Genomic DNA, 14,220 nt, shown 5'->3' with positions numbered 1-14,220 from the left:
ACCTCAGGAAGGTAAGAGAGTGGAATGTGACTCAGTAGACACACCAGGAGTTTTCAATGATATTGGTACTGTGCTACCTTTTAATCTGAGTCATTGCTGTTTGGATGGCTTCAGAGTTGTTAAAACATGAAAAGATGTGCATCTCAGAATTCTTTTTTTTTTTTGAGACAGAGTTTCACTCTTGTTGCCTAGGCTGGAGTACAATAGCATGATCTCAGCTCACTGCAACCTCCGCCTCCAGGGTTAAAGCGATTCTCCTGCCTCAGCCTCCTGAGTAGCTGGGATTACAGGCATGCACCACCACACCTGGCTAATTTTTTGTGTTTTTAGTAGAGACAGGGTTTCTCCATGTGGGTCAGGCTGGTCTTGAACTCCCTACCTCAGGTGATCCACCCACCTCAGCCTCCCAAAGTGCTGGAATTACAGGCGTGAGCCACCACGCCCAGCTCAGAATTCTTGAAATATTGTAGTTTATAATATATTTTGAAAAATTAAATGTGCAAATGCAACTCTGCTTTCTCAGATATTTCCCATTTTTAAAAGATTTCTAAGAATCTCTCATCCTTCTCTTTAGTTTGTCACTATTCTTCTTAAATATTATCCTCTAAATAAAATATTATGATTGAAACTGAACACAATGCTTATTTCCAGAGTGGCTTCTATCACTGATGTCCTTATAGAAGTGAAAAAAGACTTCAACTCTCCATTCTCCCGGACTAAAGTTTCGCTATAAAGTTCTGCCCCACCATTATTAGAGTTGGTGCAGAGCCCAGATTTCTTAATGGTTGTTCTGGTAGACAGGAGAAAGGATGAAAAAGTAGATCACAAAAGATCATATGCCACTAGAAAGTTGTCTGAAAGAAGAACATACAGTTGCCCAGAAACCTGCTTATGTGAGTTGAAATGCTGTCTGCAGGGGACACACAGGCCTGGGGTCTATCTTTGTGTGGCAGTGATGTAGCCCTCTCTGCTTCCTTTCAACTTTCATCTCTTTCTTGTAAACAAACCCAAAGCACAGGATTCTGCACAAGTTTCTTAATTTTGCATTCTCTACTGATGTCTTTACGTCCAGTTACCCATTAAAAGTATTAAAAACCTGAAAAGATCTTTTAATGTATTTTTAATGGGCGTGGGGAGAGGTGGGTATACATAATTTTCAGACCTTTCTAGAAAGGTTTGAGGCAACTGGACAGTTATATATCTCATTCTCAGCTGATCAGACGAGAAATGAATTCCCTCTTCCACAGTCTGTTCCAAAATATAAGTGAGATGTTCCGGACAAAGAATGTAAAGTAAAACCATGTTACTCCAGCTGCATGAAAAAGGTGATTGAGTTTGGGGGACATAGGGATATGGAATTATTTAGTGGTGTATGCCTCTCAAATGTCAATGAGTTCCAAAAGCTCTTGAGCCAGAAGATCATGCTAAGTATTAAACCAGTGTTTTTCAAGTGTGGTATTGACTGGCCTTGTATCAGAATTGCCTGGGGTGTTAGATTAAAGTACAGATCCTCATTTGCTCAGAATCTTGCTGGGATGAAGTCCTGCAGTTTGCATTTTTAGCCAGTTTTCTAGGCTATTTTGAGACAAAACCCTCTAAATTATTTTAAATGCCCCTAACCATGAAGAGTTAGCGCTGTTACCAGCCCAGCAGTCTCTCTAAACACAGCACTAAAAATGCTATTCCCAGAGATAAGCCTTCACAGCATTTGCTGAAATATTTTACCAAGAGTGACCTAGTGCAATTATAGTCACCTTACATTTTACAGTTCCAAATAACTGGCCCTCTTTATCCCAAAATCTACTATTATTTTTTAGATCATGAGCCCTGATTATTTTCTTCATTGTGTTTTTAAGCTGTCTGATAGCAGCTGCCCCACATCTGTCCTTACAGCCGGATTACTGTCCTTCTGACAGTGTATAAAGCCAAAGAATCAATCAGCCATATTTTAGTGCAAATACTCAGATGTACCACCCATTTAATTCTGGGGTACTTTTACTCGGTTTCATTATCCTAGTTCTTAATTCTTTGGACCTCCAGATTTGGAGCTCATCCCTGTTCTTTCTGGCAGTCAGATGCCTCCTGGCATCTCTCATTGTCAGGAGAGAAATCCTTGTTCCTACCTCATGCCTGTGGGAACCAACCCCAATATGGCCAGGAGTAGTGGTGAGTCCCGTCCTGTTCTCCCTTCAACAAGAGAGGCTGGAGGCCCAGCTTGGGACCGATCATGGCTTCTTACTGCAACAAGGGGCCCCTGTTCTCACTGGCTCAAGTTTGGTCCAGGGCAGATGACCCCCAAGTCTCCTGTCTCCTGTGACACCAGTTGAATGGGCATAATGTAAGGCAGGGCGGCTATGTCTCAACCGTGGTGTGGATGGTGCTTTGTGCACATTGCCTGCTGTGAGGAGAGCCTTGCAGTCTACAAAAGACTGCATATCTGCTGGTAGTGGGAACTTGTTTAGCCCTGCATATATCCACACTGGACTCTAGTCCCCTACCAAGTGTATGTGTCTCCTGATGAACACGTCCAACTCACATCTATCCTGACAACCAGGGATTCAGAAATATAGCCACAGATTCAACAGATTAATTTTTAAAAGACTTATTACATACCAGGCATTATTCAAAGCATTGGTAATACACTATTGAAAGAAATGAAGTCCCAGCTCCTGTGTTGTTTATATTCTAGGTAAGGAAGAAAAATAAACATAAATAAATATAAAATACATCAGGGATGAGGCTGGGCATGGTGGCTCACGCCTGTAATCACAGCACTTTGGGAGGCCAAGGCGGGCAGATCACGAGGTCAGGAGATTGAGACCATCCTGGCTAACACAGTGAAACCCCGTCTCTACTAAAAATACAAAAAAATTAGCCGGGCATAGTGGTGGGCGCCTGTAGTCCCAGCTACTCGGGAGGCTGAGGCAGGAGAATGGCGTGAACCTGGGAGGTGGAGCTTGCAGTGAGCCGAAATTGTACCACCGCACTCCAGCCTGGGCAACAGAGCCAGACTCCATCTCAAAAAAAAAAAAAAAAAAAAAAAATATATATATATATATATATATATATATATATATATATATATATATATAGATACAGATATCAGGGATGATAAGTACTAAGCAGAAAAATAAAAACTCTAAGGAGATGTCTTAAAGTGGTTGAACCCCCACCCCCACTCCAACCAACCTGAGACAATGGCATAAGTGTAGGTAGTTTGTCTTAGGTGGATCCCAAGAAACAGGATTGAGCAACTGGGAAGAATACAACAGTGAGGGAGGAAAGCCCATCCCAGTGGTCATTACTGCTATGGGTGACTGGGACGTAATCCTTATGGGATCTTTTTCTCTTTTTGAGACGGAGTCTTGCTCTGTCACCCAGGCAGGCTGGAGTAAAGTGGGGCAATCTCAGCTCACTGCAACCTCTGCCTCCCAGGTTCAAGCGATTCTCCTGCCTCCGCCTTCCAAGTAGCTAGGATTACAAGCGCATGCCAATACGCCCAGCTAATTTTTGTATTTTTAGTCGAGACAGGGTTTCACCATGTTGGCCAGGTTGGTCTTGAACTCCTGACCTCAGGTGATCCACCCGCCTTGGCCTCCCAAAGTGCTGGGATTACAGGCATAAGCCACTGCACCTGGACCCCTATAGGGATCTTCTGAGGGACTTCATTGAATGTGCCTCAATTATTCACCCAAATTACAGAAGATAGCAGTATTTATCCATAGCTTCTATTCTCCATGGGTCAAGGGTTTTCCTGATTTGGTTCCAGGTTTGAGCATGTGATGGCTGAGTGGACTCTCATAGGCTGGAGCTGGAGAGAAGCCCAGAGACAGAAAGCAAGAGATATGCAGTGCAGCTGGGGAGGTCTTGCCTTGCTACATTTGCATGAAGCTATTGGCTATAGCAATGGCTGAAGAGAAAGCTGAGCTGAGAGGACATAAAATGAAGCAAGGATGGAGAAGAGATGGAACAATCTTATATAAATTGGCCAAAGAAGTCATTAGACCACCTGCTCTGTGCTGCATGCCTACCATCAGCTCCAATGCTCACTGCCATTAGAGAAAATGGACCAGAAAAGCAGTCATGGCACCTTCATTCATGTCTTAAGAAAGCTTTAGGAGAGTGGTTTGAAAACTAGGCTTCTGTGAAGCACCTTTGGGTGCTGCTGAATTGGAAGGGGGAGGAAGAAGTGGGCTGATAGCAGAAAAGGGCCAATGGGTGGAGTCTCAGTCCTCTGACCCACTTCAACCAGAAAAATCTGCTTTCATTCATTTTGCATATTGAGCGTCATTGTGATAATTTGGGGCTGAAATAAATTTGGAAGCCACAAGAGCGCATTAAGGAATTTCACTGGGAGAATTGGTGAGGTCCCAAACCTGGGATGAGTTGCCCATCTCCCCTCTGGTTATTAAGCTAGGCTGATATACAATGTACCCGGGAAGGAAGTCACAAATATCAGCTTGTATTCAAGAAAGCATTTTGACTCATTGTGCTCCCTCTCTAATCCCATTTAATCTCAGCCTGCTTTCACTGAGTCTCTTTCTCTTGATTCATTCATTCGCTAATATAGCAAATATTTCATGAACATATATGATTTGTCAACATTGTGCTAGACCCCTGAGATATGACTGAGATATAGTTCTTTCATTCAAGGAACCCAAGTCTAATGGCAAATGAGGACAGAAAAACGAATTAACAGACAATTACCATACAATGTTAAGCAAAGAATAAACAGTCTTGTGAGAACATGGAGAAAAGCCTTTGAATCTAACCCATGTGTAATCTAACCCATGTGATTAAGGGATGGGGTCTCAGAGGAAGTGCACCATGACATGAATCCTGGAGAATGTGCTGGAGTTAGTGAAGTTCTAAACTCTTGTCTGTAACAACATTCCCACATTTGAATCTTGGCTTTCTTTTTTGAAATCTGGGTAAACTTGATTTTCTGGGACCCATATGATATTATTCTAGAACATAAGATGTCACCTTGGTCAAATCATTCTACTTAGAGCCATCAGCTTCCCCATCCATCCTGCATGTGGGAGTAAGGATAAGGCTGGGAAAAATAAACAGTGTTATCTTGGAATGATCATAGAGTGGAGTAAATAAAACCCATTCAGCAAACACATTCTGGGCACCTACAATGTTCCAAGCACAGTGGCCAGTGCTGAATATAGAAATGAAATATCAATTCCATGTCCTCAAATCATCTACAATCTAACTGTACATAAGGCGAGTGGGACCAAAGCCTTAATCATTGCTAACTCTTCTCAACAGTACTGTTGAGTGAGTTTCACCATGGCACTCACGAGGGAGCTATTTTTATGGGGTATCTAGCTTTGGGAAGGAATAACACATTTCTATCTGCAAAATATTCTTATAGCATGTAAGAAGCACAGATCAGCCGGGAGCGGGGTGTACATAGGGTGTGAAGAGATAAAAAAGGAGACAATTGCAGTACAGTAGGTAAGTGCTATAATAGAGGTAGGCAGAGTGCTAAAGGATCCTGGAGAGTTTCATGGGGGCTGGGTCCTGAAGGGCACAGAGGGGTTAGCAGGACCCCTCCACCTGAACCCTCTTTGCCCTTTCTACCTGAAGGGCAAAGAGGTGGAAGTGGGGAGGTTGGCTCAAGAGAGCCTGGGCCTTGGTAGCATGTGAGAGCTGGAGTAAAGTAATAGGCTGAACTGGAGATATCAGTAAGGGCCAGATTATCCTAATCTTCATGTTCCAGGTTTTGGACCAGGCTTTATCTTACAGGCCCTGAGGAGGCACTGATGGTTTCAAGAAAGATCGCTCTGGGCAGAGTTTAGAGTATACAATGGAGTGGTTGAATGTAGGGAGTTATTTCCAAGGTGACGACAGTAACCTAGAAGGAAACTGATCAGTTTCTGAACTAGCAGAGTGCAGAAGGCTTGTTTCGGTTATCTACTGATGTGTAACAAACAAGCCCAAAACTCAGTGGCTTAACAAAAACAATTTATTCTTTCTCAGGATTCTGTGAATTGACTGGTTGGTTCTTCTGCACATTATGGTATCAACTGGGGTTTCGGAGTGACTGGAAGGTCCAAATGACCTCACTCACATGGCTGGCAATAGGTGTAGGCCACAAGATGGGAGCTCAGCTGGGACTTTCAACCAGAGGTCTCAGTTCTCCTCCACATATGTGTGTCCATGTGGCTACTTGAGCTTCCTGACAGCATGGTGGTTGGGGTTTTAAAAAGGAATGCTCCAAGAGTAGAATCCCCAATGTGCAAGTGCTTATAAATCCCCGCATTCACCACACTTGCTAATGTCCTATTAGCAAAAACTAGATCTATGGTCAAGCCCAGAGGGGTGTACATAGGGTGTGAATACCAGAAAGCATGGTTCAATGGGGGCTAACGTCTACCATGGATATGGAGAAAAGATAAATAGTGTGATGGTAAATTTTATGTATCAAGTGGGCTCGGTGGCTCACGCCTATAATCCCAGCACTTTGGGAGGCTGAAGTCGGCAGATTACATGAGGCCAGGAGTTTGAGACGAGCCTGGCCAACATGGTAAAACCCAATCTCTACTAAAAATATGAAAATTAGCCAGGTATGGTGGTCCATGTCTGTAATCCCAGCTGCTCAGGAGGCTGAAGCAGGAGAATCACTTGAACCTGGGAGGTGGAGGTTACAATGAGCTGAGATGGCACCACTGCACTCCAGCCTGAGTAACAGAGTGAGACTCTGCCTTAAAAAAAAAACCAGAAATGTTTAATATGTCAACTAGCCTGGGACACAGTGTGCCTAGATATTTGCTTAAACATTATTCTGGTTGTGTCTGTGAGTGTTTCTTGATGAGATTAACACTGGAAATGGCAGGCTGAGTAAAGCTGATTGCCTTCCCCAATGAGGGTGGGCCTTATCCAATCCATTGAAGGCCTGAATGAAACAAAAGGCTGAGTAAGGGATCTCTGGTTATCTTCAAACTAGGACATCAATCTTCTCCTGCCTTTGGATTTGGACTAGGATTTGAACTGGAACTTACACCATTAGCTTTCCTGCTTCTCAGACTATCCCATGAGCCTTCCTGGGTCTCCAGCTTGCCATCTACAGATTTTGGGTCTTCTAAGCCTGCATAACCATATGAGCCAATTCCCTATAATGAATCTCTATTATGTATAATATACTATTTATACATATATACACCCACAGAGATCTACCTATCTATCCACCTATTGGTTCTGCTTCTCTGGAGAAACCTGATTCATACAGATTAAAAAATGTCACTTCTAGTGCTCACCCACTGCTCCAGTCTGTTCTTCAGAATTTTTACTGCTGACACTTGCCTGCCCCCTTCCTCAAATAGGAGCAGGAAGTAAATGGGGAAGGGGTTATGGGCTTATATTGCCTAAAAGACTTCACACCATTACAAAAATATCGTTAAAGCGGAAACCCTCTATTCTTTTTTCAAAGTATTTTGACTTGAAGTTATTATTGAGTAATTTTATAATATATAAATGTGACTATTTAGCAATTAGTAACATTTTAAAAGGATGCTCTTTGTTGAAAATACATAAATATCATTCCACTTTATGGCTTGAAATCCTAGGGCACAATTCATGTTTAATCTAAAATGTGAAAGTGAAGTCAGGCTGGGAAAAGGAAAGCAGGAAAGAATATAGCTATAAAACAAGCTGTGCTGCTTCTCAAAGTGTTTGAATGTGGCTTCTTTACCATAATGAAAATGACTTTGATAATCATGGTAATTGGTCCCTATGATTCTTCACAAATGTGATTCCCTTGGGGTGATCAAATGCTTTGAGATGTTAATTTCTGTATGTTGCAAGAATATTTTAAAAATAACCTCCCCTTGTACTCAAAGATGATGCACAAAACCAATTCTTTCTATGGCTGGCTCCTGGTCTGTGCCCTGGTTTCCACATTTGTAAAAGGGAGATAACAATAGTATTAAAATATAGTATAAAGCAGTATAGTGTATAGTATAAAATAATAGTAATCCCCTCATAAGTTTGTTGTAAAAATTAAAGAATATGTGTAAATGATCTGTGCTTCTTTTTTTTTTTTTTTTGAGATGGAGTCTCATGCTGTCATCCAGGTTGGAGTGCAGTGGCGTGATCTTGGCCCACTGCAACCTCTGCCTCCTGGGTTCAAGCGATTCTCCTGCCTCAGCCTCCCGAGTAGCTGGGATTACAGGCACGTGACATCACGCCCAGCTAATTTTTTGTATCTTTAGTAGAGACTGGGTTTCACGGTGTTGGCCAGGCTGGTCTCGAACCCCTGACCTCATGATCCACCTGCCTCGGCCTCCCAAGGTGCTGGGATTACAGGTGTGAGCCACCGCGCCTGGCCGATCTGTGCTTCTTATATGCTGTAGGAATATTTTGCAGATAGAATGTGTTATTCCTTCCCAAAGCTAGATACCTCATAAAAATAGCTCCCTTGTAAGTGCCATGGTGAAACCAAAGCACTGTTGTTGAGAAGAGTTAGCAATGATTAAGGCTTTGGTCCCATTCGCCTTATATGACTCCTCCAGGCCTTGTGTTATTCATGTATCAAAGGAGGAAGTCGAGCCCAGTGTTCTTCCGTGCCTCTTATCTGGTCAAGGCACACTGTCTGAAACTATCCATCAGGAATCACCAGCAGCCTTGACCCATCTGTTCCTCCTCCATCATCTGTAACAGAAGTTCTCCCTACCACTTCTTTTTAATATTATTTTCTCTTTGGAAGTTCTAATCACCTTTGAAGACAGAGCTTTATGCCTGATGATACATAGCCCTGAAGGTGTAACTTAACAAAGCGCCTTCTCTTTGTTGCAGGTATCATATTCTTTTACCTTGATTTGATTTCCCTTTATTCCAAATGTATTCCATCCTCTTTTTCTTGTTGAATACTCATTTCTGTCTAAAAAGACTGGATTTCCTTTCACAACCTTCAGCAGAGTCGTTCTTGGTATCTTTTCCCCTTCCCCAAGAGCAAGCACATGGACTTATGGCTACCACCAATTCCTACTTAGCTATGATTTCCTCAATTCAACAGCCTGTGACCCTTCTGTGGAGAGTTAGTGATTGGATGAGATACCACCACACATGCTAATGCACACACACAAAGCACTCAGAAGATTCAATATAGAATTTTCCTCTCAAGAAAGTTGTTCACCTCTCATTGTTCCCAAGAGCAAACCACACCTTGTTCATTGCACCTATGCCTGTTCATGGGACTCAGAAGTAGCAAAGCCTATCTATTGTTACATTAAATAAACATGAAGCCATGGCCTGAAGCTATTTCCCTCCTTTGCGTTTCTATGCAAGGAACTGCAACCTTACATGAAATGTAAAATACATCATGTTTCTAACTTGTCCTCCAAGATATTCTGCTCTCTATGTATAAATGTAAATTTGAGGGAAGAGAGAGACCTTCTCATATGGTTTTATACTCAGTACCTGTTTTAAGAAAAAAAGAAAAAACAACAAGGAAGTAAAACCAAAGACGGGCAGCCCGGCGCCAGGCTCGAAACCAGGCCTGGGCCTGCCTAGCCTAAACCCAGTAGTTAAAAATCAACTCATGACTTAGAACCCGATGTTACCCATAGATTTCAGGCATTGTATAAAAGAACACTGTGAAACTCCCTGCTCTGTTCTGTTTCACTCTGACTACCAGTGCATGAAACCCCTGTCACATATCCCCTAGATTGCTCAATCAATCACGACCCTTTCATGTGAAATCTTTAGTGTTGTGAGCCCTCAAAAGGGACAGAAATTGTGCACTCGAGGAGCTCGGATTTTAAGGCAGTAGCTTGCCAATGCTCCCAGCTGAATAAAGCCCTTCCTTCTACAACTCGGTGTCTGAGTTAAAAAGAGAGAAAGAGACAAAGAAGAAATCGAAGACAGAAAGAGAGAGATGAAAGTAGTAAAGAAAAAAACGGTGTACCCTATTCCTTTAAAAGCCAGGGTAAATTTCTATCTACCCAGCCATGGCATATTCTACTTATGTGGATCTTCAACCCATATCTGCCTCTCAGTTTGCAAGAAATAACAAAATCTATCCTTGCCTTACAATCCCAAATAGACTGTTTGGCAGCAGTGACTCTCCAAAACCGCCGAGGCCTAGACCTCCTCACTGCTGAGAAAGGAGGACTCTGCACCTTCTTAGGGGAAGAGTGTTGTTTTTACACTAACCAGTAGGGGATAGTATGAGATGCTGCCCGGCGTTTACAGGAAAGGGCTTCTGAAATCAGACAACGCCTTTCAAATTCTTATACCAACCTCTGGAGTTGGGCAACATGGCTTCCCCTCTTTCTAGGTCATGTGGCAGCCATCTTGCTGTTACTCGCCTTTGGGCCCTGTATTTTTAACCTTCTTGTCAAATTTGTTTCCTCTAGAATTGAGGCCATCAAGCTACAGATGGTCTTACAAATGGAACCCCAAATGAGTTCAACTAACAACTTCTACCGAGGACCCCTGGACTGACCCGCTGGCACTTCCCCTGGCCTAGAGAGTTCCCCTCTGAAGGACACCACAACTGCAGGGCCCCTTCTTCGCCCCTATCCAGCAGGAAGTAGCTAGAGCTGTCATCGGCCAAATTCCCAACAGCAGTTGGGGTGTCCTGTTTAGAGGGGGGATTGAGAGGTGACAGCGTGCTGGCAGTCCTCAGAGCCCTCGCTTGCTCTTGGCACCTCCGCTGCCTGGGCTCCCACTTTGGCAGCATTTGAGGAGCCCTTCAGCCCACCACTGCACTGTGGGAGTCCCTTACTGGGCTGGCCAAGGCTGGAGCCCACTCCCTCAGCTTGCAGGGAGGTGTGGAGGGAGAGGCGCCAGCGGGAACCGGGGCTGTGTGTGGCGCTTGCAGGCCAGCTGGAGTTCCGGGTGGGTGTGGGCTTGGCGGGCCTGCACTCGAAGCAGCCGGCCAGCCCTGCTGGCCCCAGGCAATGAGGGACTTAGCACCCGGGCCAGTGGCTGCGGAGGGTGTACTGGGTCCCCCAGCAGTGCCAGCCCACCGGCGCTGCACTCGATTTCTCACTGGGCGTTAGCTGCCTTCCCGCAGGGCAGGCCTTGGGACTGCAGCCCGCCATGCCTGAGCCTTCCCCCGCCTCCGTGGGTTCCTGTGCAGCCCAAGCCTCCGGACGAATGCCGCCCCCTGCTCCACGGTGCCCAGTCCCATCGACCGCCCAAGGGCTGAGGAGTGCGAGCACATGGCGGGGGACTGGCAGGCAGCTCCACCTGCAGCCCTGGTGCGGGATCCACTGGGTGAAGCCAGCTGGGCTCCTGAGTCTGGTGGGGACATGGAGAGTCTTTATATCTAGCTCAGGGATTGTAAACACACCAATCAGCACCCTGTGTCTAGCTCAAGGTTTGTGAGTGCACTAATCGACACTCTGTATCTAGCTGCTCTGGTGGGGCCTTGGAGAACCTTTATGTCTAGGTCAGGGATTGTAAACACACCAATCAGCACCCTGTGTCTAGCTCAGGGTTTGTGAGTGCACCAATTGACACTCTGTATCTAGCTGCTCTGGTGGGGCCTTGGAGAACCTTTATGTCTAGCTCAGGGATTGTAAATACACCAGTCGGCACTCTGTATCTAGCTCAAGGTTTGTAAACACACCAATCAGCACCCTGTGTCTAGCTCAGGGTTTGTGAGTGCACCAATTGACACTGTATCTAGCTACTCTGGTGGGGCCTTGGAGAACCTTTGTGTCGATATTCTGTATCTAAGTAATCTGATGGGGACGTGGAGAACCTTTGTGTCTAGCTCAGGGATTGTAAACGCACCAATCAGCGCCCTGTCAAAACAGACCACTTGGCTCTACCAATCAGCAGGATGTGGGTGGGGCCAGATAAGAGAATAAAAGCAGGCTGCCCGAGCCGGCAGTGGCAACCTGCTCGGGGCCCCTTCCACACTGTGGAAGTTTTGTTCTTTTGCTCTTTGCAATAAGTCTTGCTACTGATCACTCTGGGTCCACGCTGCTTTTATGAGCTGTAACACTTACCGCGAAGATCTGCAGCTTCACTCCTGAGCCCAGCAAGACCACGAGCCCACCGGGAGGAACGAACAACTCCAGACGCGCTGCCTTAAGAGCTGTAACACTCACCGCAAAGGTCTGTAGCTTCACTTTTGAGCCATCGAGACCACGAACCCACCAAAAGGAAGAAACTCTGAACACATCTGAACATCAGAAGGAACAAACTCCAGAGGCGCCACCTTAAGAGCTGTAACACTCACTGTGGGGGTCCGTGGCTTCATTCTTGAAGTCAGTGAGACCAAGAACCCACCAATTCCGGACACAGAGAGAGTCACCCTTTATTACTAGTGTCGGGCCTCTGAGCCCAAGCCTGCAAGTATTCATCCAGATGGCCTGAAGCAAGTGAAGAATCACAAAAGAAGTGAAAATGGCTGGTTCCTGCCTTAACTGATGACATTACCTTGTGAAATTCCTTCTCTCCCTCATCCTGGCTCAAAAGCTCCCCCACTGAGCACCTTGTGACCCCCACCCCTGCCAGCCGGAGAACAACCCCCTTTGACTGTAATTTTCCACTATCTACCCAAATCCTATAAAAGAGCCCCACCCCATCTCCCTTCACTGACTCTCTTTTCGGACTCAGCCCGCCTGCACCCAGGTGATTAAAAAGCTTTATTGCTCACACAAAGCCTGTTTGGTGATCTCTTCACACGGACTCGTTTGAAAACTAGCAAGAGGTTTAAGTCAAGCAGATGTCACAAGAGACTGGCACATGAGGGTTGACACCTAATTTCCCAATAAGAAACCTTCAGTTTAACTTGTCTAAGATTATTTTTTCCCTTTAGATTGAAAACTTTTATTTCAATACTGTCTTAGTCAATTCAAGCTGCTGTAACAGTGTACCATGGGTTGTGTGGCTTACACACAACAGAAATTTATTTTCTATTGTCTTGAAGGCTAGAAATCCACGATCAGAGTGCCAGCAGGTCAGTTTCTTTGTAGGATCCTCTTCTGGGTTGCAGGCTACTATCTTTTTACTGTATCCTCACATGGGGGAAAGAAGGTGAGAAAGCTCTGTGGGGTTTCTTTTATAAGAGTACTAATCCCATACATGAGGCCTCTACTATTATTATCCAATTTCCTCCCCAAAGCCCTGCTTCCTAATACCATCACATTGGGGGTTAAGATTTCAACATATGGCTGGGCACAGTGGCTCACACCTGTAATCCCAGCACTTTGGGAGGCTGAGGCAGGTGGATCACTTGAGGTCAGGCATTTGAGACCAGCCTGACCAACATGGTGAAACCCTGTCTCTACTAAAAATACAAAAATTAGCTGAGCGTGGTAGCATGCACCTGTAGTCCCAGCTACTCAGGAGGCTAAGGCAGGAAGAATCTTTTTAACCTGGGAGGCTGAGGTTGCAGTGAGCCAGGATTGTGCCACTGCACTCCAGCCTGGACAACAAAGGGAAACTCCATCTCAAAAAAAGATTTCAACATATGCATTTTAGGGGGAGACAAATATTCAATCCATTGCAAATACTTAAATGTATCTTTTTTTCATCACATGATATAGAATTAAAATAAAAGGATTCATCAGCAAATAACAAAGTATACATTTTTGCACATATAGAATAAGAGAAAATCATGAGAAATGTAAAATACATCATGTTTCTAACTTGTCTTCCAAGATATTCTGCTCTCTACCTTTGGTAATATAAAAAGCACAATGAGAACACCCATCTCCTAATTACAAGGCAGCTACTAGGCCAACCAACAATCATGTAGCACACATGTGGTTATTTTCATTGAAGACTCATGGCTAAACCTTAGTTTTTGAATATGCATATTACATGAAAAATAGCCAAAGCCTATTTTTGCCTCAACTTCTTTGTAAATCTATCTCTTTGCTCACATATAAATTATTTTCCCGGTTGCATCCAGAATGTTACGCTTGAATGAGTCACGAAGCTCTTCTTAGCCCTTGCCCCTGAGGTACTATTACCTTATGTTTTTCCTCACCATCGGCCTTTTTTTTTTTTTCTCTGCAAAGCTTTTTGAAGCTCAGCTTCATGGAACAAGAGAATAAAAAAGATGAAAATTATTGCCATCGATCACTTTTAGATAAAGCCAAATGTCTTCCAGCCACTCTGAATTGATTTTCTTTTCCCCCATGAGAAAGCAACAGAAAGGAGTTAGAAACCACATAGGGGACTGAATCAATATAAAAGTGAGAGGCATTTTGTGGAGGTAATCACATGTAGAGAAGCGGGGAGTTC

General features: G+C 44.4%; 2 annotated features.

Moving 5' to 3' along the window:
• Window positions 11,135-11,658: an enhancer, noted in NCBI's record as "H3K27ac-H3K4me1 hESC enhancer chr13:32182479-32183002 (GRCh37/hg19 assembly coordinates)". NCBI's record gives its function as "activates a minimal SCP1, AML or CMV promoter by ChIP-STARR-seq in naive H9 embryonic stem cells {active_cell/tissue: H9 hESC(naive)}" and the evidence as "EXISTENCE:reporter gene assay evidence [ECO:0000049][PMID:30033119]".
• Window positions 11,659-12,182: an enhancer, noted in NCBI's record as "NANOG-H3K27ac hESC enhancer chr13:32181955-32182478 (GRCh37/hg19 assembly coordinates)". NCBI's record gives its function as "activates a minimal SCP1, AML or CMV promoter by ChIP-STARR-seq in naive H9 embryonic stem cells {active_cell/tissue: H9 hESC(naive)}" and the evidence as "EXISTENCE:reporter gene assay evidence [ECO:0000049][PMID:30033119]".

Source organism: Homo sapiens, chromosome 13, assembly GCF_000001405.40.
Source record: "Homo sapiens chromosome 13, GRCh38.p14 Primary Assembly".
In the NCBI taxonomy this organism is placed as follows: Eukaryota; Metazoa; Chordata; class Mammalia; order Primates; family Hominidae; genus Homo; species Homo sapiens.
Note: the sequence above shows the minus strand (reverse complement) of the source record. Positions and strands in the feature narration are given on the sequence as shown.